We start from the raw sequence: 23,375 nt of genomic DNA on the forward strand, positions 1-23,375 counted from the left end.
TAGGATAGTAGGGAACAAAGAAAGAAAACCTAAAAAAAGAAGCACAATTAGAGAAACACACTCCTGTAATTTTTCTCAAAGGAAATATTTTGAGACAGCAGAACCAAGATTATAATTTTTTTTAATTGTTTTGACTTTGGGTTTTCTTTTTATAAGTCAGCTTAATATTTGTGATTTCTCTGTGCCAAAAAGTAACCAATATTAATAGAGAACAGCTTTAGTACATGTAAAAGAAAAAAATCCTTTATGTCATTTCAAACCCTCAGTGCTTTCTTTCTGACAGATTTTTAATGGTTTTATCAGCTGTTAATTAGGTTGGTGCAAAAGTAATTGCAGTTTTAAAAAAAGATCGCAAAAACTGAAATTACTTTTGCACCACCCTGATAAAAAATTGGCCTGACTATATTGCTTTGAAATGTTTCAGACAGTATTCTGTCTCCTTCATTGCTCTTCAGATACTGTTTTAGCAGTTTATCTAGATCAGTCTTACTGTGTGCATAGTCAGCATACATCAGTTTTATACTTTTAAAGCGGCATTGCATTTTACCTACGTGGAAGTTTTCTGCAGACATATTTTAAGCTTCTCTAAGAAAAGCTCTGAAGAAAATGTAGGCTCCTGTTGCTCGGAGGGCTGATGAATAAATTTAAAAAAATCATGCTCAAAGACCACTTCCTTGACAATTAATCTTTCAAAATCAGCTACGGAGTATCTAGAACTTCATAATCTATTCAAAATTGATTAACAATCTTAATTGAGAAGACATTTGTATCTGAAGTGTAGAATTTTCTTGTCTCCAGGTATACATTATTAATGTTTAGTGTCTACCCCATGGACATAAAAGAGCAATAGCATCCGTTCTCAGCTCTGTAAAAGAGACCATCTTATCTTCTCTAGAATCAATATTCAGGGGTTTCTCCTTCACTTACACACACCTCACTCTGAGCTAACCACAAGCAATGCAGTAGTGGTACCTCCAATAAATCCCACTCACCCCCTATCTCTCTCCCTTCTTTTGGCTTCTGTTGTATATATTAGTAGTCATTGTCATTTCTACCAAGTTTGGTATTAAATTGCTAGCATGTATCGTGTATCGTGAATGAAGTTTTACATTTGAAATCAGAAGAGCTGATTTGGAGTTCTGGTTCTTCCATTTATTTAGCATAGGGATTTTAATGGGTCAGTCACTTAACCATGCAAGCCTCGCCTCAATTTATTTGTTCACAAATGAGCAAAATAATATAACCAACCATCTCTTAGAGTTGTGAGGAACAAATAGTAATTAGGATGAAAATAAATTGTATGTCAACATATAAAATATTATTTGCTATTTTTGAATAATAGAATGTATAAGTTGTTGGGAAAGTAAATTTCTATGCTTGGCTTCTTCAGTGGAAACTTTTTTTTTTTCAATTTTTTTTTTTTTTTTTGAGACAGGGTCTCCCTCTGTTGCCCAGGCTGGAGTGCAGTGGCATGATCTCATCTTACTGTGGCCTCCCGGGCTCAAACAATCCTCCTGCCTCAGCCTTCCAAGTAGCTTGTACTGCAGGCATGCACCACCATGCCTGGCTAATTTTTGTATTTTCTGTAGAGACGGAGGTCTCACTGTGTTGTTCAGGCTGGTCTCGAACTCTTGGGCTCAAGCAGTACTCCCGCCTTGGTCTCTCAAAGTGCTGCGATTATAGGTATGAGCCACTGTGTCCATCCTGAAACTTTTTTTTTTTTAATTAAAGAACCAAATGAACACCTTGCAGATTTTATGTATAAGCCAGAAAGAAAGCTCAGTACATGTATAGAATGTAGCACAAGCCAACTTTTCAAAAATTAATCTTTTTAAGGGGCATTATGTAATGAAGGAGCATACATTTTTAGTTTTATCCAGGATAAAAGTGGTTCTTTTTCCCCCATTAACTTTAACACAGAGGTTTTACTTTAATTTAAATTCCAAGGACTAGGTTTTTGTTGTATATGAAGAAAACGATTTGACTAAATCCAATGTAAATGTTTTTCCTTATTCTTTGGGGGCACACACATACACACATTAATCCTTATTTTATATTTTATTTATAATACAAATATTTAATTATATTTTATTTATAATACAAATATTTAATTATATTTTATTTATAATATAAATATTTATATTTTATTTATAATATAAATATTTAATTATATTTTATTTATAATATAAATATTTATATTTTATTTATAATATAAATATTTATATTTTATTTATAATATAAATATATTTTATTTATAATATAAATATATTTTATTTATAATATAAATATTTATATTTTATTTATAATATAAATATATTTTATTTATAATATAAATATTTATATTTTATTTATAATATAAATATTTAATTATATTTTATAGGTTGAATAGGTTCCTTGTTTATCTTTTTTGCAAAATAATTTTATTGTTATAAATTGTTCTTATTATAAGCAATAAATAAGGAACCTAAATATCACAATCTGTAAAGCATTTTATTTGTGTGTGATTTTATATGATAGTTCATTAGACATTAGATAGGAAAGTATGGAAAGTTTTGAGATTGCTACATGATTGCTCTTTTAATTTGTCCAATGTATTCCTTTAAATGTTGTGAGGGATTTTTTTACCAGTGAAGTAGCTTTTGCATGCTAAGTTGTAGTGAACTGCTGGGCAGAACTAAAACATAAATGGTTTGAGGCATGATTAATAGTTGTATATGGTGGCCGGGCGTGGTGGCTCATGCCTGTAATCCCAGCACTTTGGGAGGCCGAGGCGGGTGGCTCACGAGGTCAGGAGATTGAGACCATCCTGGCTAACATGGTGAAACCCCGTCTCTACTGAAAATACAAAAAGTAGCCGGGTGTGGTGGTGGGTGCCTGTAGTCCCAGCTACTCAGGAGGCTGAGGCAGGAGAATGGCATGAACCCAGGTGGAGCTTGCAGTGAGCCGAGATCACACCACTGCACTCCAGCGTGGGTGACAGTGTGAGACTCCGTCTCAAAAAAAAAAAAAAATGGTTGTATATGGTGTAGTATCTTAGAGTGATGTGCAGTGGCATGCATGATTTAAAATAATATTAATAATCATAACAGAGCTTTTTTGTAACATTTTATAAGCATACTACCTTGCTGAAGTAGTCGATGGAATATAATCAAAGATTGTGTCACCAAATCTTTAAACAGGACATTTTATCAGAGAAGATACTCTGGTTTCTTAGGTAAAGTTATAGGGTAGAAACACAGTAAGCAGTCTCTGGTAAGAATAATATTTTAGCCTTGATTGATTATGGTTGCCAAAATTTAATGGAATTAAAAATAACCTGGGAAAACATAGATTCCTGGTTTCTATCCTCAGTAGGTCTAGGGTAGGTCCCAGGAACGGTATATATTTTTAATAGTTACCCACGAGTCACTGATTCAGATAATCCAATAATCTTTCTGGAGCATCAGTATCCCAGAGAAACAAATGTTGCCGTTAATAAACAATTTGCAGTTATTTCAGTTTATTAGCTAGCTACGATTGCATTCTGATTTGCTGTGGAAAGCTGGTCATTACTTTTTAAGAGCATATGATGCTGATGGAAACATGTAGAGCTTTAATCGCTGTCTCATTAAAAGGATGTAGTTTATTCTTTGTGTTTCCTTATTTGTTACAGCTTTTCCAGAATGCACAGAACCTTATGTGCAATTAAAATAATTAAGAAAAAGATATTGTTTTCTATTTAGCAAAGGAACTAAATCTCATGCTCCCTTATAGTTTCTGTTCAATATGCATTCTCTTTTGAAAGTACAAATTTGTAATAATACAATTTTTGATCTCGTCTCCCAAGAAGCCTAACTTTATTTATACTCTGACTACACGGTAAAATCACATTGTCAAAATAAAAGCGTTGGTAATGCTCACATTCTGCCAACCAACCATATTTGAAGTCTTTTAAAAATTCACTTTCAGGTACTTTATTCTGTAGACTGTTATTTAATAACTAAGAAAGAGAGTTTGAGGAGGACAAAGTGAGGGCGGAATGTTTTTATTTTCCAAGAGGACATACATGCAAAGGCATAATCATATAAGAGTATATACCTATCTTGGTTATTTTAATTAGAAGTGCATGCTGCTTCAGGGAGACTCCCCACTCCTGACTCAGGAATGACTGCGAGTGGAACCCCCGCCTCAGGGAAAATTACTACATGGGAAAATATGCTTGGGCCTACATGAGTTTTCCAGAGTTCTCTTGTACCTTAGCTAGTTTGATAATGCTTTGCATTATGTATAGCAGTTGTCAGAAACCATTTCCTTTAATCAGTTAGCATCCAAAAAAGGAAGGGGTAGCAGATATTTTCTGACATTTGTAGATATAATGTATTAAAAAAAGCATTACCTTACTCTTATGACATAGTGTTGTCAGAGATTTCCCAAATACAACATGCCCTGCAGATTCTTAAAACTACACATTTTCCTTTTGTTAATAAGAAAATAACAGTAAAGTATTTATTGTCTATTTTGATACCCTGTCAACCCAAACATGTATTCCAAATTCCAGCCTCTGTTTCTTTGTAAATAATTACAAAATGCAAATACTATGATTGTTTTAGGAATGAAATGCCATGTTTTGATGCAACAGGAGTTGAAAAACTGATTTTACAAATGTTTCCATTGATTAGCTGCTATATGAGGGCTAACAGTTGAAAATATTTTGGAAAAATACAAAAACAGGCTTTCATTTCTATTTATAGAAAAACAGACATACTTTTTTTGCATGTTCCCACAAGAGAAATTTACAGTGTAGATAAAGTACAGCATAGGCTTAACAAATATAGAAAAATATGTTATTGACTCTTGGTGGAAGTACATATTCGTAAAGGTTTTCTTAAAGTTTTTTATTCTAGTTCAAAGTTAATACATATATGAATACACTTCATGTTCTAAGGATTTATATTATTAAAATCACTCATAAGCATAGCTTTTTATATGCAATTTCAGCATTGATTAAAAGAGTGAAAAATGGGCATTAACTTAGTTGACTACTGATAACAAAATGGACATATAGTGGAGTAATATATAATTGTTAAAAAGTAATTATATTGATCTGTTTCTATTGACATAGAAAGATCATTAATATATTTTATATTGTGGAATATTAACATAATTTGTTGTTTAATCTCTGGACCTAGTTAGATATGTGAATTATGTGAAACCTTCTTCCAAGGATATTTAAGTTACATTGAAGTGAAAATAGGAGTTGTCAATGCATGTCTTTGTTTTGTGGCGTATCTTAGTCTTTTAAACCAGGGAAAAACAACTGGGTCTTGAGTCAGTGTTAGTCAGTGAAAACATTATTCTTGTTTGTGAGCATATGTGAATTTGTTATTTTTTTGAAAAAAAGTCAAGTTAAACTGATATATCTTGTTATGAAGAATATATATTATTATGAGGAATATATTCAGTTAACATTGGTATATTTTTTAAAAGTATGTTTGAGATTATTTGTTAAAAAGTAATCCTTAAGGTCAGTTGTATAAGTCAATAGAAATATCCATAGGATTGTAATGTTAAAGTGTGTAGCACCTATGTGGCTTGAGTATTTGTAAGTTTGGAATAAGAAATATGTTAGTGAAATAATAGGGACTTTTACTGATTATATGGAATGGAGGAAATATTTGTGTATTACGTTGTGTCATGAGAAGTTCACTAATTTGTTTTTTTAGGATACATTCGAGCAATTCCATACTCATTCGTCATTGGTTTTAGTCATTGTATTCTGAAAAATAATTATTTTGGTCTTTTTATTTAATTATAGGCATAGATTTTTCTATACTTTTTTTCATAATGATTAATAGTTAAATCACATATTTTGGGCCATATTCAATATAAATAAGCTAATACAATTTTCCTGATTGAGGTTATCACACCAGGTTTAAAATCAGACATTTGGAAATTCAAATTCTATTTGTTAAGATAAAGCTTCTGTGGTCAGATTTAGTGGGTAGTACTGAGGGCAATTATCACATTAAATTTTTAGAAATTCTGAACAGTGTGGCAACTATTAAGTTTGATCCTAATGAGATATGCTTTATATTTTGGGCAGGTTTTTTTTTAAATTATATCTGTCATTTTTTTCACATGTTGATTTTGTAATTTATCCTACTTGAGTCTGCTAAAATAGGAAAAAAATAGGTTAATTATGGAGAAGATCTTATAACTATTGGTTGTGAGAATGATTTCTGTGTGAGAGGGAAAGTTGGAATAGAGGGGCAAAGAGGTACAAAATGCAGCAGATTTCACCAATGTATGAGGTGCTGTGGAAATATTTTCTTAGTTCTGTGATCAATTAACTTCATACTTATTTTTGTGTTGTGCAATAATGTCATTAGGGATGCACAGATGAATTTGCTACCATTATTTAAGCAGTGAACATCATATTTTAAATGTTTTAGGCAGAGGTGCCACCAACCTCAGCAAGAAGCTTGGTGATGTTCAGAAGATATAGAGGTTAAATATGAAAACTATGATTTTGGCCCTTAGTTACTGTATCAAATAAAATAATACTCATTTAAGTAAGCTTTAGGATCAAAGTCTATAATCAGGACATTGTAACGGGAATAACAGTATTACTGTGTGTTGCATTTCATTTAGCGTTCACATTTTTGTTGTGTTAGTTCTACATTGACAGATTCGGGTTGGGTCACTGTACCATTCTTCCTGAAAATTGCCAAGATGATGAGATTTGATTTTTCTACCATTTAGCTCTTGAGCACATAACAGCATTTTAACTTTTGCTGTAGTCTGTGTTCTGATTCCCTATTTACTATTTTGAAATATTAAATGATATGGACAGATCAGATATGTCTACCTGAGGCTAACAAGATGATGTCTTTGTGTAATATATAGGTAAATAAAACACTAATTAGGAGTAGTGCTTTCTCTTGTAGAACAATTAAGTAGCATTCACAGTTTTATCTCATTATACCTTCTTGTAGAAGGAAATGTTAAAATACTTCCTCTTTGAATAGCATCAGAAAAAATGCAGTGTTTCTTTTGCTGGAATTGAAGACTGGTTCTGTCAGAATTTCACAGATAATTATTTAAATATTTTAAATTTGCAAAGCCACATAAATCTGTTTCGAATATTCCATGGCTCAAAATATCTTTCTTCAACTTCATAATCAAGGAGGTATTTAAATATGTTGCTATTTTAACTTCATCGCCTCATGTTCTCTTTCCAATGAGTGACGTTTGATGCTGGTTTCATTCACTTATAAAGGTGACATCCCCAATATACTAAACCATATAGCTTAAGCATTGTAATTTGTCGAAAATACAAACTAGTCTGATATACTAAGAAAAATCTTCAGTTATACCACAAATATTAATTGTTCGTTTCCTCTGGGCCAGGCATTGTTTTGGTGATCTGTTTCTATTAATGGAGAACTAGTGTAACCACTGCCTTCTCTCATGGAGCTTACATTTTTGTGGCAAAGGCAAATGATAAGCAGATAGCGAGATAAGCGTGTAATATTACTCTGCTTTCTTCACAGTACTATGTAGTATTAGATGGGGTTTTTTTGTTTGTTTTGTTTTTTAGACGAGGTCTCACTCTGTTACCTAGGCTAGAGTGTAGTGGCTTAGTCATAGCTTACTGCAGTCTTGAACTCCTGGGCTCAAGCAGTACTCCCATTTCAGCCTCCCAAGTTGCTGGGACCACAAGCACATGCCATGCCATCATGTGTGGCTAATTTTTAAAAATTTGTTTTCTGTAGAGATGGGGTCTCACTGTGTTGCTCAGGCTGGAAGTGTAATGTTATGTACTTCTCTCAAAACGAGTCTGGACTGCTGTTGGGAGGAACAGAAGGTTGGGTGCTTTGGATGGTGGCCTGAAAATCTTCTAAGAAGATAACTTTGCAGTAGGGACTTGGACGAAGGCCTATTGGGGTATAGAGCTAGTATGCAAAGTGCAGTGATTCATTGTGATAATTATCTTCTAGTGAGCTTAAACCTTTTACATTTTTAAAAATTTTGCCTGATACAGGAATTAATTCAAAATTCACTTTTAAATCATTGTCTGTATAGAAGCTTTATGTTCTGTTTTGTCCTAAATATGAATACTTAAGGATCAACAATCATTTTCTAATTGGAATACAGTTTAGTTGCCACTGGAATTCTAATCTTTGGCAGTAGTGTGTCACCTAACCGACACTCCTTCATTATCCTTCCTACAGTAGACCACTAGGTGATTTAGGGAACCAAACTGTTGAATGGATCAGAATTCTAAAAGACTGCTTCGACAGAGCTTAGATTACTTATTTGCGTTAGTAAACACAATCTTCCTTTCTTGGCAGCAGCTAGTCTGAAATGTGGCAGACCAGCAGGCCACATTGGCAGTCTCTATGCCATTCCAGAGGATGTGTGATTGAAAGTTATCTTTTTCTTTGCAGTATTGTTAAAACTTAGTCATTTACATATCTCCTTCATGATTTTCATTTATGTGTAGTCTCTTAGGTATATTTGTGTGTATATGTATCTATTCTTTAAATCTTTTTTAAAAATTTATTTAATTAATACTTTTTTTTTTTTCAGACAGGGTCTTACTCTGTTGCCCAGGTTGGAGTGCAGTGGTGTGATCATGGCTTACTGCAGCCTTGACATCCTGTGCTCAAGCAATCCTCCTGCCTCAGCCTCCTGAGTAATTGGGACTACAGGCATTTGTCACCCTGCCTGGCTAATTTTTGTATTTTTTGTAGATATAGGGTCCTACTATGTTGTTCAGGCTGGTCTCGAACACCTGGCCTCAAGCAGTCCTCCACTTCAGCCTCCCAAAGTGTTGGATTACAGGCGTGAGCCACGGTGCCCGGCCCTTTAAATTTGTAAATTAAACTTTAATTTCTTCCTAAGTTATAATATTGATGTAATCACAGACCGGACACACTAGTTTTAGCATTCTAATCCATCTGTTAAAATTATGTTGTTTGTGCATCACCTGAAATTGCCATGGGTACTGCTGGTAGTGTGCTTACCCCTCACTGAGAAATACTTACCTCTGCTTTTTGCTATGTGGAGTTGAATAGTGCTGAAGGCTGCATTAACTCGTTCAGATGGCAGTTCTTCCCATATAATGTATAACATCTTTGTTACTCTACTTAGCACCTTAGTGAATACAGAGATGGCTGTACAGCCTCCAGAAATGCTAAGTTGGTTGGTTGTATATGGAAATCTCTGTTAATATTTGGGACAAACCCTGGGAATAATTGTGTGAGCAAACTTAGTTTACTAAAGAACTGCATTGCTAATTATGGACTTGTTGACACCAGTGAGCCAGGGGAAGAAGTTGTGGTTTTGGGCAAGGGGTTCTTTCTTATCAACTCCAAACTTACAGGGTGAAGTTAGCCATCTCTTTCAGTTAGATTGAAACTATCTTAATAAACAAAAATCATAATAAACGACCTCAAAAAATTACTTAGTTAACTTCCTCAGTATATAACTTATATCAACATTAAAAGCATATTAAATAAAATTCTTCAAAATTACCAGCTAACTACTCTGGGATATAACTGGACTGATTGCCTATATTTGCTTTAGAAGAACTTTTGCAATGATTAGTAAACATATGTGAGCAAGAAATTTAACCTTGCTCATAGAGGCCATCCAGTTCTCCAAAAGAGAATTTCATTTTCATACCTTGTAAGCATCTCTTTATCTTCTATAGCAGTAGGTATGTGACTCTTAAATAGGCATTCATATGAAGCCATATATATATATATGTAATTTTTAAGAATAATTGTTGAAAGAATAAGAATAATTTCATTCTTCTTTATCCTTTTCTCGGTTTTTATTATCTCTGTCATTTCAAATTTTATTTCTTTCCTTTTTATTTTCTCCCTTATATTTATCTTAAAGTAGAATATATACATGATTTCTGATATCATTCAAAAAGAAATTGGTTCTTGTGGCAGAATATTAGTGTTGTAGATGATGTCAGATAAAGCAAGAAACTATAGCGTTTGGAATGTGATCAGTAGGTTAAAGAGGGACTGCTGTTACCTATTATTCAGATTTTAAAGTTTGATTCTTTTTTTTTTTTTTTTTTTTTTTGAGGCAGAGTCTCGCTCGGTCACCCAGGCTGGAGTGCAGTGGTGTGATCTCGGCTCACTGCAAGCTCTGCCTCCCAGGTTCACGCCATTCTCCTGCCTCACCCTCCCGAGTAGCTGGGGCTACAGGTGCCCGCCACTATGCCCAGCTAATTTTTTGTATTTTTTAGTAGAGATGGGGTTTCACCGTGTTAGCCAGGATGATCTTGATCTCCTGACCTCGTGATCTGCCTGCCTCGGCCTCCCAAAGTGCTGGGATTACAGGCGTGAGCCACCGTGCCCGGCCTTAAGTTTGATTCTTACAATATTTTTGTTGTTCAGAGAAGTTTATTATAATGTATTGAAATATAGGTCAGATATTTACCTCAGAAGCAATGTACCCATTAGTAGAAATCTTTCCTTTAATAATTATTTACAGACAAAATTTATTTTAGGCCAAATATGTTTGCAAGAATTCTCATAATCTGGACATTACCCACATATCTTTAAACATTATATCTATCTGTAGAACAAAACCCCATTACTTAGTTAATGTTTTGTGAATTCAGTATTGATCCAAATTCTATAAAATCTTAATTTACCAAAAGAGATTTCTATTTTTTGAAATTCTTTTTTTAATATAGAGAAGGAATATAAAACAATAATCTGATATCAGCAGTTTAGTGAAATTGATCTATAGGATATAATTTGAGTTTGTTACCCACAGTGCCCTATATCAAGGGCAGGCACATACATTATCAGGTCTAGCTAGACTAATGCATAATGGCCAGTATCTATTTTAATTGTTCAGTGTCTATGCCTGAACTAATTATTAATACTTTGATTATCATCCTTGTCTATGTCCTTTACAATTAAATGGTACAAATCTATGTTGATAATGCTTTCAGTAGCACTTTTGAAGTAAATAGAATTTCTCTGCTACAGAAAATAAATATAATCAGAACACTGATTTGCAAGCATTTTAGTAATCAAAGTATATTTTGTACTTGAGGGATTGTCTGTAACCTGGCAAAAAGGAAAAATAATCAACTCTAGAAATTAATTTTTAGTTGTATTTAGATATGACTACCAAGCAATGCAGATATTTCTTGGGGTACCAGTCTTCTTACATATATTGTCTGGATGCCATAGATCATGATATTAAATAATCTATTTCATCAGTGTTGGGACCACATCCTCCCATACATGTTTATTTCTGTAAGTGTGAATGAAGTTTACTCATTTATCAAACATTTTAAAAAAAGATCTGTTATGTTCCAAGAACTGTGTGATGGAAGACACTGGACCTACACCCTGTTGTCAGGGCATATATAACATTGAGGGGGAGAGGTACGAAGAGCTACAAAGTACCAGAAACATTCTGAGATGGAGTAATGTTTAGCATAGTTGACCCAGTCCTATAGAGAAGGTGATTTTTGAACAGCAATTTAAACAAGGAGAAGGAATTTGCCAAGTTGCAGGGGTGAGGAAGTGTGTGTCAAACCAAACAGGGAGTTAGCATGTAACAAGTCCCAGGAGCTCACACATGTCTTGGCACCTGCCAAGAACCCTCAGCAACTCCTCTCCAGGGGAGATACAAGAGGTACAGCACTGAGAGAAGCAACAAGATAAAATGTATCAGTTTGTTAAAAGGGAAAGGTTCAAGAAAGAGGGAGTTGTAAATCATGTTACAGGTCAAGTAAAGGCAAGAACAAAACATAGTCTTTGGACTTGGCTTTCCTGACAGCATTGATGAACTTTGCTGAGCAGTAAAGTAATGGGTGTGAAAGTCAGACTGATAAGGATTCAGAAGTGAATGGGAAAGGAAGAAGCAGAAAAACAGCACGGTAGATGACTCTTTAGATATTTGCTTGGGAAGGATGGATTAAGTGCATTAGGGAGAGGAGGATGCTAGCCAGGGCAGGGTCCTCTTCCTCCTGCCATGTCACCGTCTGCATGTTGGAGTTTCTTCAGCACATTTGGAAGCTAAGAGAAGGAACTGCTGAAAGACAGGGCGTGCATGTATAGAGGAGGCAGAAAAAGAACTAGATCTTGAGAATGACTGAGTCAAGGTGGAGGCTTGTGGAAGCTTAACTGTGGGCAGGAGGAGGGAGAACTGGGAGACCAAGAAAGATACAGAAAGATAGGTTAAAGACTTGTGAGTAGGAAGGTAAGAAAAAGTTCATGCTTAAGGGCTACTGTTATGGCTATGAAATATTCGTGACGCATAATATTATTATCCACTATTGCTAATGAACATGGAGAAAGAGTAATGAAGTTTTAGAAAGGCTGCCGTGTGCAATGAGATAGGGAGCTGTCCAAGGACAGGGCTAGATTGTGAGGCAGTGAAAGGGCCTATGTGACCCTGGAACATAATAATTTATAGAGGCAATGATTGTGTGTGTGTGTGTGTGTGTGTGTGTGTTTTCAAATGTATGTTTCAGTGTGTTCATGTGTTGTATTCATATATGTGTTCATGTGTGTGTGTTTGTATATTTTGTACCCTAGAAGTAATCCAAATCCTGATGCAGCAGTTGATAATTTAGTTTACCAATATTTTTGGAACTCCATCTATTTTGCATCATTATGGCTAAGCCATGGGGTTACTGAGATGAATAATATATTTTTTCTGTCCTTAAAAACATATGGTCTAGTGGGTCAGATATATAAGGAAATAAAACACTGTATAGGGCATAGGTGCAGAGATAATTCAGAGAAGGCAGTATTACGATATGGATGGATAGAGATGGGGATAATGACATCTTGGTAGCTTTTTGGAGGAAGTAACATCTTAGCTGGCTTTAGAGGAAGAAAATAGTTACATGTGAGGCACTTGAAGATTCTGAAGAGAAGGAGTAAAGACATTGTTGACCATGCAGGTGGTCCATTCTCAAGGCATGAAATCATTGAGTAATTCTTAATGCAGAACAAAGTTTCAGGAAGATAGACACAGCTTACAGTTTATGACTGGACCTTTGTTTTTTTTTTTTTTTTTTTTATAGAAACTGGCATTAAGACCTAGGAACTTTTTTGAAAACCAAAATATTTCTTGAACACTGGGGATGAGGTTTTTTTTTTTTTTTTTTTGATGGAGTCTCACACTGTCTTCCGGCCTGGAGTGCAGTGGCGCAATCTCGGCTCACTGCAACATTCACCTCCCAGGTTCTAAGTGATTCCAGGAGAATCACCCAGCCTCCCAAGGAGCTGGGATTACAGGTGCCTGCCACCATGCCCGGCTAATTTTTTGTATTTCAGTATTTTTAGAGACAGGGTTTTGCCATGTTGACCAGGTTGGTCTCGAACACCTGACCTCGTGATCTGCCTGCCTCGGCCTCCCAAAGTGCTGGGATTACAGGTATGAGCCACTGTGCCCAGCCATGGGTTTTTTAAATTTTTTTTAGACAGAGTCTTGCTCTGTCACCCAAGCTGGAGTGCAGTGGTGCAATCTCAGCTCACTGCAGCTTCCGCCTCCCGGGTTCAAGTGATTCTTCTGCCTCAGCCTCCTGAGTAGCTGGGATTATAGGTGCCACCACCACGCCCAGCTAATTTTTGTATTTTTAATAGATATGGGGTTTTACCATGTTGGCCAGGCTGGTCTTGAACTCCTGACCTTGTGATCCACCCACCTCAGCCTCCCAAAGTGCGGGGATTACAGGCGTGATCCACCAAGCTTGATTGATTTTTTAAATCTCTATCAAAAGTTGTAGTCGTACTGTAGTATTTTCCAAATAGTTTTGGAAAGTAGTTTTTTAAACGAAATTTAGTGTTAAAATGGCAATATTAATCTTAAACAATTTAAGTTCTAGATGTTCGTGTTTTTTAATGTACGTATGTATTTATATCCTATACTCTAGTTTCCAAAAATTATAAATATACCATATGCCAATAGAGCAATTTTGGCTCATGAAGAAGTATCATCAAATACTAGTTATCATACTGTGTCATTGCCTCTTTAAAATGTGAAAATTTTACTTTTTAAAGCCTTGTTTTCCTCATTGGCAACATTCAAACAAAAAATAAAGAAGAAAAATCCTGATAGAAAAAGTAAGTTGTTAAAAGTAAAAATGCCCTGCTCTAAGAAGTAGTCTTGTGGTGCTGAGTTAACTGATCATCAGGCAACAGGGGATCCCTCATCCCCCACCCTCCAGCTTTGTTTGGAATTGTACTTCTGAAGTGCATCACGCTGCTCAAATCAAATTGCTCACTTAATATTTAATGTTTCTGCGATGGAATCACTTTCTCCCTTGAGGTTGACTTCAGATTTACCAGACACACTGACAACACTGTACTCCTTATTTTCCCCACATGACCTCAGCTTCTGCTTTAAAAATGTACGAATAAAGGATGCTTTTGTTCATATCTTGCCTGCCTGTGATATATTGACAAAGTGTCTGCGGGCTCAATGGAATAGTTTTACAGTATGAGTGCTGTTTTCAGTGGAGGGGCAGGACTTGGGCTTTAGAAGGAAGTGAATTGGATAGGTCAGGAGAATGTACCATTTGTAAACACCCCTTTCCTTTTTTATTCACGTGTCAGGACAGCAGGAGCAGGCTGTTCAGTGCCCGTCCCTGCGCAGAGCCGGAGGGAAAGCAGCTTGGAAGTCAGCTGCAATTTTTAAACCTTGCTTTTTATTCCCTGGTAATGATCTTCAAGTGCTTAGACTTGTCTGAGAAGCTGTTTTGAAACTAACATGGTTTAGTCCACTAACTGCATGTTGGGTAAATTCAAAACCCACATGCTCGTCCTCTTGCAGTGGAATAAGTCACATCTGATGGACATTTTCTGTGCTTATAGCATAGTAATGAACGTCTGACAGGCGCGACCTTTCATAAGACAACCCACACTATTGGCTTTCTGCCCAGAATATTGCTGCAACACTATCTGTGATTGGTTATCTCTCTATCATGCATTGCTTCACAAGGGGAAACGGCCCCTTTTTTTAATAAATCTACGATGGCTGGCTGCAATATGCCTCACTGTAAGTATTTTGTGTATGTATGTGTGGGAGAGAGAGAGAGAGGCTGACTTGAATATTACTTAGTCTGGTATCACATGGCAAGGTTGTGATACTGTAGGACATCAGTGAAGTGCTACTTAGTAAATCTTAACCTATCTCTTTTTTCTACAGGTTGGTACTAAGAAGTGCCTTTCCTGACGTCTCTGCTGCTTGGAACCGCTTCTAGAGCAGTCTCTGCTTTTGCCTTGCTTGCTGCCAGCTAGACTGTGACGACAGCACATCCACCCTCCACCTCTAGCCCAGACACCCCCATTTCTACTTATAATCAAGAGAAAAGCTCTAAGTATCTGGCATTGCCCTAGGCTGCTTTAGTGTTAAAAGAAAAGTTTGCTGAAAAAGTAAGATATCTTCTGCCAGGAAATCAAGGAGGAAAAAAAAAATCATTTTCTCGATTTTGCTCTAAACTGCTGCATCTGTCTATGCCAAACTAATCAATACCGATTGCACCACCAAACTCCATTGCAAATTCAGCTGTGAGGAGATTCCCTTTCAGACAACTTTGCTGAAAGCAGCTTGGAAATTCGGTGTCGAAGGGTCTGCCACGTTTTCATGCTTGCATTTTGGGCTCCAAATTGGCACTGGGAAGGGGTTACTGAGAGCACAAGGCTGATACCAGGCCCTACTTTTAAACGTTCATCTACTTACAATCCTAGTATTTCTCTAAAAACCAAAACCTCTTTGAATTAACAGTTTCATGCTGTGAATTTCTAGTGGGAGATCTTTTCCTTGATATTGACGACACAATTTTCCATGTACTTTTAAAGCAGGGAGTGGGGAAAAGTATTTTGAGGGGACATTTTCATCATCAGTTCAGCTTTTTTTTTTTGGTTGTTGCTCTTTTTTGGGGGGGTTGGGTTTGTTGGTTTCACTGAAACATTTAACTACCTGTAAAATCTAAACATGGCTGTTAGTGTCACACCAATTCGGGACACAAAATGGCTAACACTGGAAGTATGTAGAGAGTTCCAGAGGGGGACTTGCTCACGGCCAGACACGGAATGTAAATTTGCACATCCTTCGAAAAGCTGCCAAGTTGAAAATGGACGAGTAATCGCCTGCTTTGATTCATTGAAAGTGAGTAACTATTATATTCTTTTAAGGATATTCAATGATTGAATGAGGGGTATATGGACATACAGTTCTCTGCATATGGGATTATGGATTGCTTTGTTCATAGTTTAGTTATACAGTGTGTTGATGATGTTGGGCTGGGGAACTTTACGAGAAGCAGTAGAATCAAGTCTGGCCAAACTTTGTTATGAATAACTTTATCAGTCCTTTCACTGCATGTTTTTTTTTGCTAGGGCAGAAAGTGTTGACATATTTTTCACTTAGTAATGGCAAAGTGTCTGTCTGTCCCTGGAAATGGTAAATGTAGCTACCTGTGAGTGTTTAGCATATGCATATATTATATATAAGGCCATGGCAATAGCTGAATGAGGATGATTTTTATTTGTTGGTAAAGGCATTGTACAGTTGCAAAAGAGAAGCAGATTTAAAATCAGCTAAACTTGGATAGACTTTTTACTCTTTTAATATTTTGACATTTTAGATTTTCTTTTTATTTTGTGGGCATTTTATTTTCAGGCCAGAGCCACGCATTTTATGGAAAATGTAACTAGAAGTAAGGTGCTGAACTGCTGCTACAGCACCTTACCTGAGGCACAAACTTTGTTGCATGTGAGTTATATAAATAAGTAGAAACTCATAAGTACTATTGTTTATTGGATTTTTCCAGCTTCAAAAATTCTAATGTGAATTAGCAGTTTATTTTCTGTTAGATCATGATTTTTTTTTATTTGTAATAGTCTTAGCTAGAAATGTTAAAAGTTAGCTTTTGTGGGCACCATAATACTAAAATATTTACTTTAGTGTTTCTTGACATTCAAAAATGTCATTGGATTTGTAATTCAGGTATCATATTTGAAAATGAGTCTTTTAAAAGATAACATAAATATCTTTATTTTGACACACAAGGTCAAGACTAGAAATGTGTTCCTGGGTACTTTCAGCCTACTTGGTTTAATCAAATTGCTTTTGAATATGAATGTCCTAATTTAATTCTTTGGACCTTTGAGGGGAGGACACTATCACTTCTACATATGTAGAGAAGTAAAAGTCTCATAGATCCATCTTGTCTTTAAAAATATATGGTGCTATAATAATCTTTTCTTTAATAACATCAGGGTGAGTTATGAGTTAATTGTTTCAGTTCATTGTTTCCTGGTCCATTTTAGGCTGTTCATTTTGCTAAAGTTTTTGCCAAAGATTTCGAGAATATGATCTTTAGAGTTGAACAGAAAGGAGGTATTAACAACAAAAATATTTTAAAATGTTAGATTCTTCTTAATGTCATAGTCCTAAAGATCAATAAGCAAAAGTTATAAACTCCCATTGAGACTTTCTTCACCCTTTCCTTTGAGAGGCATCAGTGAAGGGCACAGTGGTTGTACCTCCGTGAATGTGTATTCCTAAATTCATGCTGGCTGAATTCAGGTGTAATTAGAGACTGAGACCCATAAAATGAGGGGCAAGGAGCTAATTACTCTTGTCGGTAACCAGCTGTGGCCATAAGTAACCCTGTTTTGACCCAATTAATAGTAAATCCAATTTTTAATCCTACAGACAGTTGATGGTGCACTCGTAGCTGCAAAATGAAGGACATTAAATTTGGCTGTGACATTGAGTGGTTACACAGAAGACCTGCTTCTACAACATTTGGAAACATTGTGAAACATTACTATTCAGTTGCTATTTTTCCATCTCAAAATATTTTTTTTTAGTTGCTGCTCACTTATGGCCACAGAACAGTCCCTTTTTGAGTAAAGCAGCAAGGTTGCTTAATGACATGCTATGTGGTTAACAAGATTCAACTGCCACATCAAGGACTTTAAATAATTTCAAGATTTTAAATGTATTTATGAAATGAACTCATTACAGCAGCTAATCAATGCAAACTTTGTCCTTTTTCTTTGTCTTTCTAAGAGAAACTGAATTTAATTTAAATTTAAATTACAGTGTCTAAAACTTGGTAAAATATTTTAAATTTGAATAAGAGGAAAAAAAAAACATGAATTTATTTATGATGGAGCTTCATACCCAGGACAGTAGCTTCTTAAATGTTAGTAAAATAATTATGTTAAGCATTAAAACAATTTTGAATATGTAATTAAGCATTTATGTTAAAAAACATGTTTCTTACGTGTGTGTGTATATATTTATAACTGACACATGTGATTCTTTGTACAGTATTTAGAATCCTTCCCTTCAGATAGCAGTCCTCTTGTATTCAGTCTTGTGGCTAAAATAGATCAAAAACATATTTTAAAACTGTTAAAGTAACTGTATGACTCATGCTTGAAGTTCTGAAATTTGGGAGCGTTATGAGGTTTCCATGCCATTAACCGCTAGATCATTTGCATTCTCTCACAGAGTAAACGGAAAAAAATTTAGAAAACTTGTAATAATCCTGACTTCTTTAATAAAATGTGTCCTGTGTATTGCTTAAATCCATAGTCCAGCCTTTTCTGAGTTCTTGAGCCATGAGATGGAGGTGGCCTGTGTAATCTACTATTTTTAGAAAGTTAGGAAAGCAAACCAAATACTCTCTGAGAGGACCCTATGAAATGGCTGTACCCTTCAGCTGTGCTGCTTCAGACTTTGGCCAGGCTCCCAGGTGACTTACGTTAATAGCAGACTTCTAGTTAGAAGAGGAGAATTTATTTCATTAAAAAAAAAAAAAATAAGTCAAACAGTTCAAGAAAGTATTCATTTATGTAAAAGAAGTCAATTGGTATGTTACTAAAGATAATAGGAAGAAAATTAGCTCACTATTTTAGTTGCATACTGATGATTTTAAGGTTTAAATAATTAGATTTAAATATACCGTATGTAAATGTAGAAGTCTGTATCGTAATAAATCTGTTGCTAAGTAAAATGGGAATACATGACAACGAGGAATGTAGGTATTAAGAATGTCAGAATTAGAACGAGAACAGTAAAAGAGCAAAAGCTGTAATAATGTGTGCTAGTATATAAACAATACTCTAAATACTTAGTTTCTCTAATTTTCCTTTTACAATTGCAGTTTTAATTTATAATAGTCTAAGAGCGTATTCAAGCTGAGACTTAAATTGCTTACGTGCTATAGATTTAGGTGTATTAGCTATTTCAGAAATCCAGAACATTTGCAAAGGTGCATTATTTTATGCCAAAGAGGATTATGTTCCCCTATGGCTTGTGAAAGAGATAGGAAAAAAGAAAAGAAAAATATTAACACTGCAAGCCACCATTAGAAAATTATATTTCAAAAATGATGTTTCAAATCAATGACAAATTGCCTATTCAGTCATGAGCTCTCAACTAAAATTTGGGGAGTCAATGTAAAGAAAGCCTACAGAATGTATTTTAATATTTGCCAAGTTATTTATACCCTCAAAAAAAAAGCTTTTACGATATGATCAACAGAAATAGACTTATTGTTTACTGAATTCTATTTCAAATACCCATTCATTTTTCAGGTACTAGGGATGGGAGAAAGAGAATATAACCTTTATATTTACTATCTATTTTCCAAAAATCTAGCAAAATTCTTTTACCTTTGAAAACTTTAGTCACTTGTTCCTTTATCAAATTGAGCCATTTTATTTAAGATAATTAAAATTTCTTTTTGCTATATACAGTGATATCTATCTATAAATAGCACCCCGATCAGATTTATCATAGACACATTTGAGATCAGATTCCACTGCAAAGTGGCATACAATCAAGGGTGCTGAGAACAGTTTTAAAGAGCCTCTGCAGGCTTAGCAGAATATATGAAGTATGGAAATTAGGTATTAGAAGGCACACAAATATATGTACATACAGGTAAATGAACAACTAAAGCACTCAAAATCAGTAAGGCAAACAAGTATCCAGATGGTCACATATGGATTGGATGGCATAACTAGACATGATAAAGTAGTCCCAAAGGTGGTTATAGTTAAATTTTAGAAGATCCTCTGTTGCTAGCATGGTTTATCCTCAATCCAGAAATTGCCTGTGTTGCTGCTGTTCTAAGCCCCAAGCATAGACTTTTCATCATATTTTAAAAACCAGTTTCACTGATAATCCTGATAAAATATCTGCAAGTTTTAGACTAAATATGCAATTTTCAATTAAAATTTTGATCTATTAGGGTCCTAACTGGAATCACTGTTACCAGGAAGTTTTTTTGTGGTTTGATTTTTAACCACTGGTATCTCCCATGTATTAAAACTTTGACAGATTATTATATATACTGTGCTGGCACATATATTCAATGTGTCTTTCAGTGACAGATTGACATATCACTTCCTTGTTTTCTCCTAATAACTTAGGAGATGAACTAACTATAAGGCATAACCTGCGCAGCAGTATGTTTCATATAAAAGGTCCCTAAGGAGAAACTTCACAACTTTGTAAAGAATATCCTGTGAATATGCTGCAGTGTCATCAACTCTGACATAAACCTTTCTTTAATGAAATTCTCAATAGCTGCAGTTGCTTTGGTGAAACTAGTAATTGTATTCATTTGCCTGTTTATATTAGAACTTTTTTAGAAAACTTTTTTTTATGAGTAAAGGTTTTTTTAGACTATTAGATAAATTGTAAACCATGTTTCGAATCAAGCTACCTGCTGCAGTAATTCTAGAACTATTTATTTTGCTTCATATTATAAGATTTTGGTACACTGCGTCTACTTTTTTTCTCATGAAATCTTGCTTCACTGTGTGAGTGTGACAAACTAAAAACAATTTAGACCTCAAGCAATGTGGCACTTACAGCTGAATTCAGTTTCATTGTAATTCAGATGTCTGAAGCTAATCAAAATTCCACGGAGTACCCTTGAAACAATTGCATATATAAGGCTGTTTCTCACTTAAAAGAGACAATGCAGTGTGGGGTGAATTGTCTTTTGAAGAACTGTATGACACATGCCCAGTTCAGGTGAAAGGTGAGAAATGGAATGTTTCTCAGACCTAGCACAGACACCTAGGGACCTAGTTTGGGAAGCTTATCTTGTCATTTTCCTTGCCAAGGATAAGTAGAGGATTTCAGCTATCAACATTGCTAATCCGTTACCTTTCATGCTGAGCAATGTCTCTGCCTTCCCACAGACTTAGACAAAGCTTCTTATTTTCTTACAAAGAGGTCCTATTGAGGAAATTTGAATTTTTTTTTTTTTTTTAAACTTAGCAGTACTACATCCTGTGCTTTTAGATAGGTGAGCAATTTTCCATGTTAACAGCTAGGCCAAAAATCATGACTGCCAGTAGAAGTGGGTAACTAGATAGATAGATAGATGGCCTTTGATTTAGCACTGATGATAGTTATTAGCATGTAGCAACTTAAGTAAAAGCAACTGGAAAGGCTTGATAGAAATTCTGAGTTGTTTGAAGTATAATAGATTATTAGGATAGTAATTTCTTTGTGAATTTTACTGTAAACAAGCTTGATTCTAGTGAGGACTTATGCTAATTGCTCACTTATACTAACAGCAACTACAGAGTTTTTATTTAATACTGTTTCTTATACAAATATCATCAAATGCACATCTACCTACAGCATCATCCCTACATTTTTGGCACATGTTTGAAATATTTTCACTTTGAGATAAAGTTTGATTTTTTTGCTAGCGATAAAACTTTCTATGCTATGAGCTTGTGTTTTGAAAATTACTGATAATTACTAAACAGTATAACCCCTGATATCTTCTAATTTGGTTGACAGGCTGTTTGTCCTCTGGATTCCTGAGGGCCTTGGCCATCTCTGACCATTACATTTCTTCTTTTGTTATCTCTGAGTTCTTTCCAGCTTTCTAATTGTCCATCTTTAGAACTATTGGTTCCGATCTTAAATATGTCTTTCCATAGTCACACAGAAGTGATTTAGACATTTTGTCTGTGAAGAATTAGATTCAGCTTTGCATAACAGAGACACCTCCCCTACCCTCCCCAGCATTTGGTATAAACAAATTAGGGGTTTATATTTCAGTCGTCTAGGTCTATTTGGCGACTCTATAGTCATTGGAACTCAGGTTCCTTCTCTCTTAGTTCCTAAGGAGCACATGGCTTCCAACTTTAGGATTATTTCAAAATTGCAATGTGGCCACTGCAGTGCCAGCCATCATATCCTTAGTCTAGCAGGACGCAGAAAAGGCAAGACACCATAACTCAGCCCAGCCAGGCTCCTTTTAAGCAAAGGTTCTCTGAGCTTCAGCCAGTAATTTTTCAGTCTCTTATTGACTGATTTTGGTAGCAGGGATTGCTAGGAAGTATTTTTTTGTATGTTTGTTTGTTTTGTTTTGTTTTTATTTATTATTATTTTAAAAAACTGTTGCCTTGATTGAAATCAGGAGTCTGGTAGGTAAGACAGAAGGGGAGAATGGAAATGGATGTTCAGGAGGGCCATTTCTGGAATAAAAGAGTGTTTATTTTTCCTCTCATAAAACTTTCAGAATTAAGTAAATCTCTCTGGAAAGCATCTGGGTAAGGGAGGTGGTTGAAGAGATACCACTTTTGAAGAGAAACTGAAGTCTTCTCATCTTGACAAACTTGTCATCACTTCTGTCTTGCTTATTTAGTAAATAAAACCTGGCATATCACAAATGGATTTATTTTTCCTTATAGAGAAAACTAAAACAGCTTCATTTTTTATCTTCTTATAACTGTACTTATTTATTTATTTATTTGAGACAGAGTCTTACTCTGTTGTCCAGGCTTGAGTGCAGTGGTGTGATCTCGGCTCATTGTAACCTTCGCCTCCCACGTTCAAGCAATTCTCCTGCCTCAACCTCCCGAGTAGCTGGTCCTACAGGCGTGTATCACCATGCCCAGCTAATTTTTGCATTTTTAGTAGAGACAGGGTTTCACCGTGTTGGCCAGGCTGGCTTGAACTCTTGACCTCAGGTGATCAGCCCGCCTTGGCCTTCCAAAGTGCTGGGATTACAGGCGTGAGTCACCGCGCCCAGCCTACTATTCATATTTATATAAACAGTCACATTTTTATAACTGGAATATAGCAGAAATGCCATGTCATTAAAAACAGGTCCCAAGTGATTTTATATGACAAAAGAATCTGCACTTTGATTTGTATTTCTGCTGCTTCCACAAATACACTTTCTTATTTTTTCCGTATGGAGTAAAATAACAAGGTGAGTTAATATTTATTGAAACTTAATGTATGTCAATCAGTGTTTTCAGTGCTTTTCATTTTTTTCATAGTATTTTGTCCCTATAAAATCTCATCGAGATAGTTACTGGTGTTACTTCCATTTC

General features: G+C 35.2%; 1 protein-coding gene across 130 annotated transcripts in view, besides 1 other annotated feature; it reads left to right on the top strand.

The window, feature by feature from the left end:
• MBNL1 (muscleblind like splicing regulator 1) overlaps window positions 1-23,375 on the top strand; it is a 222,149-nt gene that overhangs the window by 40,587 nt on the left and 158,187 nt on the right. For 47 of the 130 annotated variants that reach the window (NR_170697.1, NR_164858.1, NR_164861.1 and 44 more), the window contains one exon: window positions 15,187-16,149. The exons of 48 other annotated variants lie outside the window; for them this stretch is intronic. Coding sequence is in view for 60 of the 82 variants with exons in the window: in NM_001387785.1 (NP_001374714.1) it covers window positions 15,976-16,149 (174 nt within the window). In the remaining 22 variants the exon portion in view is untranslated. Of the gene's footprint in view, window positions 1-14,795; window positions 15,037-15,186; window positions 16,150-16,662; window positions 16,756-23,375 lie in introns of those variants that run through there. 35 more of the 130 variants (NR_164862.1, NR_170703.1, NR_170702.1 and 32 more) reach the window with 4 other exon arrangements.
• Window positions 18,316-18,415: an enhancer, noted in NCBI's record as "active region_20707". NCBI's record gives its function as "activates an Ori minimal core promoter by ATAC-STARR-seq in GM12878 lymphoblastoid cells {active_cell/tissue: GM12878}" and the evidence as "EXISTENCE:reporter gene assay evidence [ECO:0000049][PMID:35858748]".

Source organism: Homo sapiens, chromosome 3 (genome assembly GCF_000001405.40).
Source record: "Homo sapiens chromosome 3, GRCh38.p14 Primary Assembly".
Taxonomy (NCBI): Eukaryota; Metazoa; Chordata; class Mammalia; order Primates; family Hominidae; genus Homo; species Homo sapiens.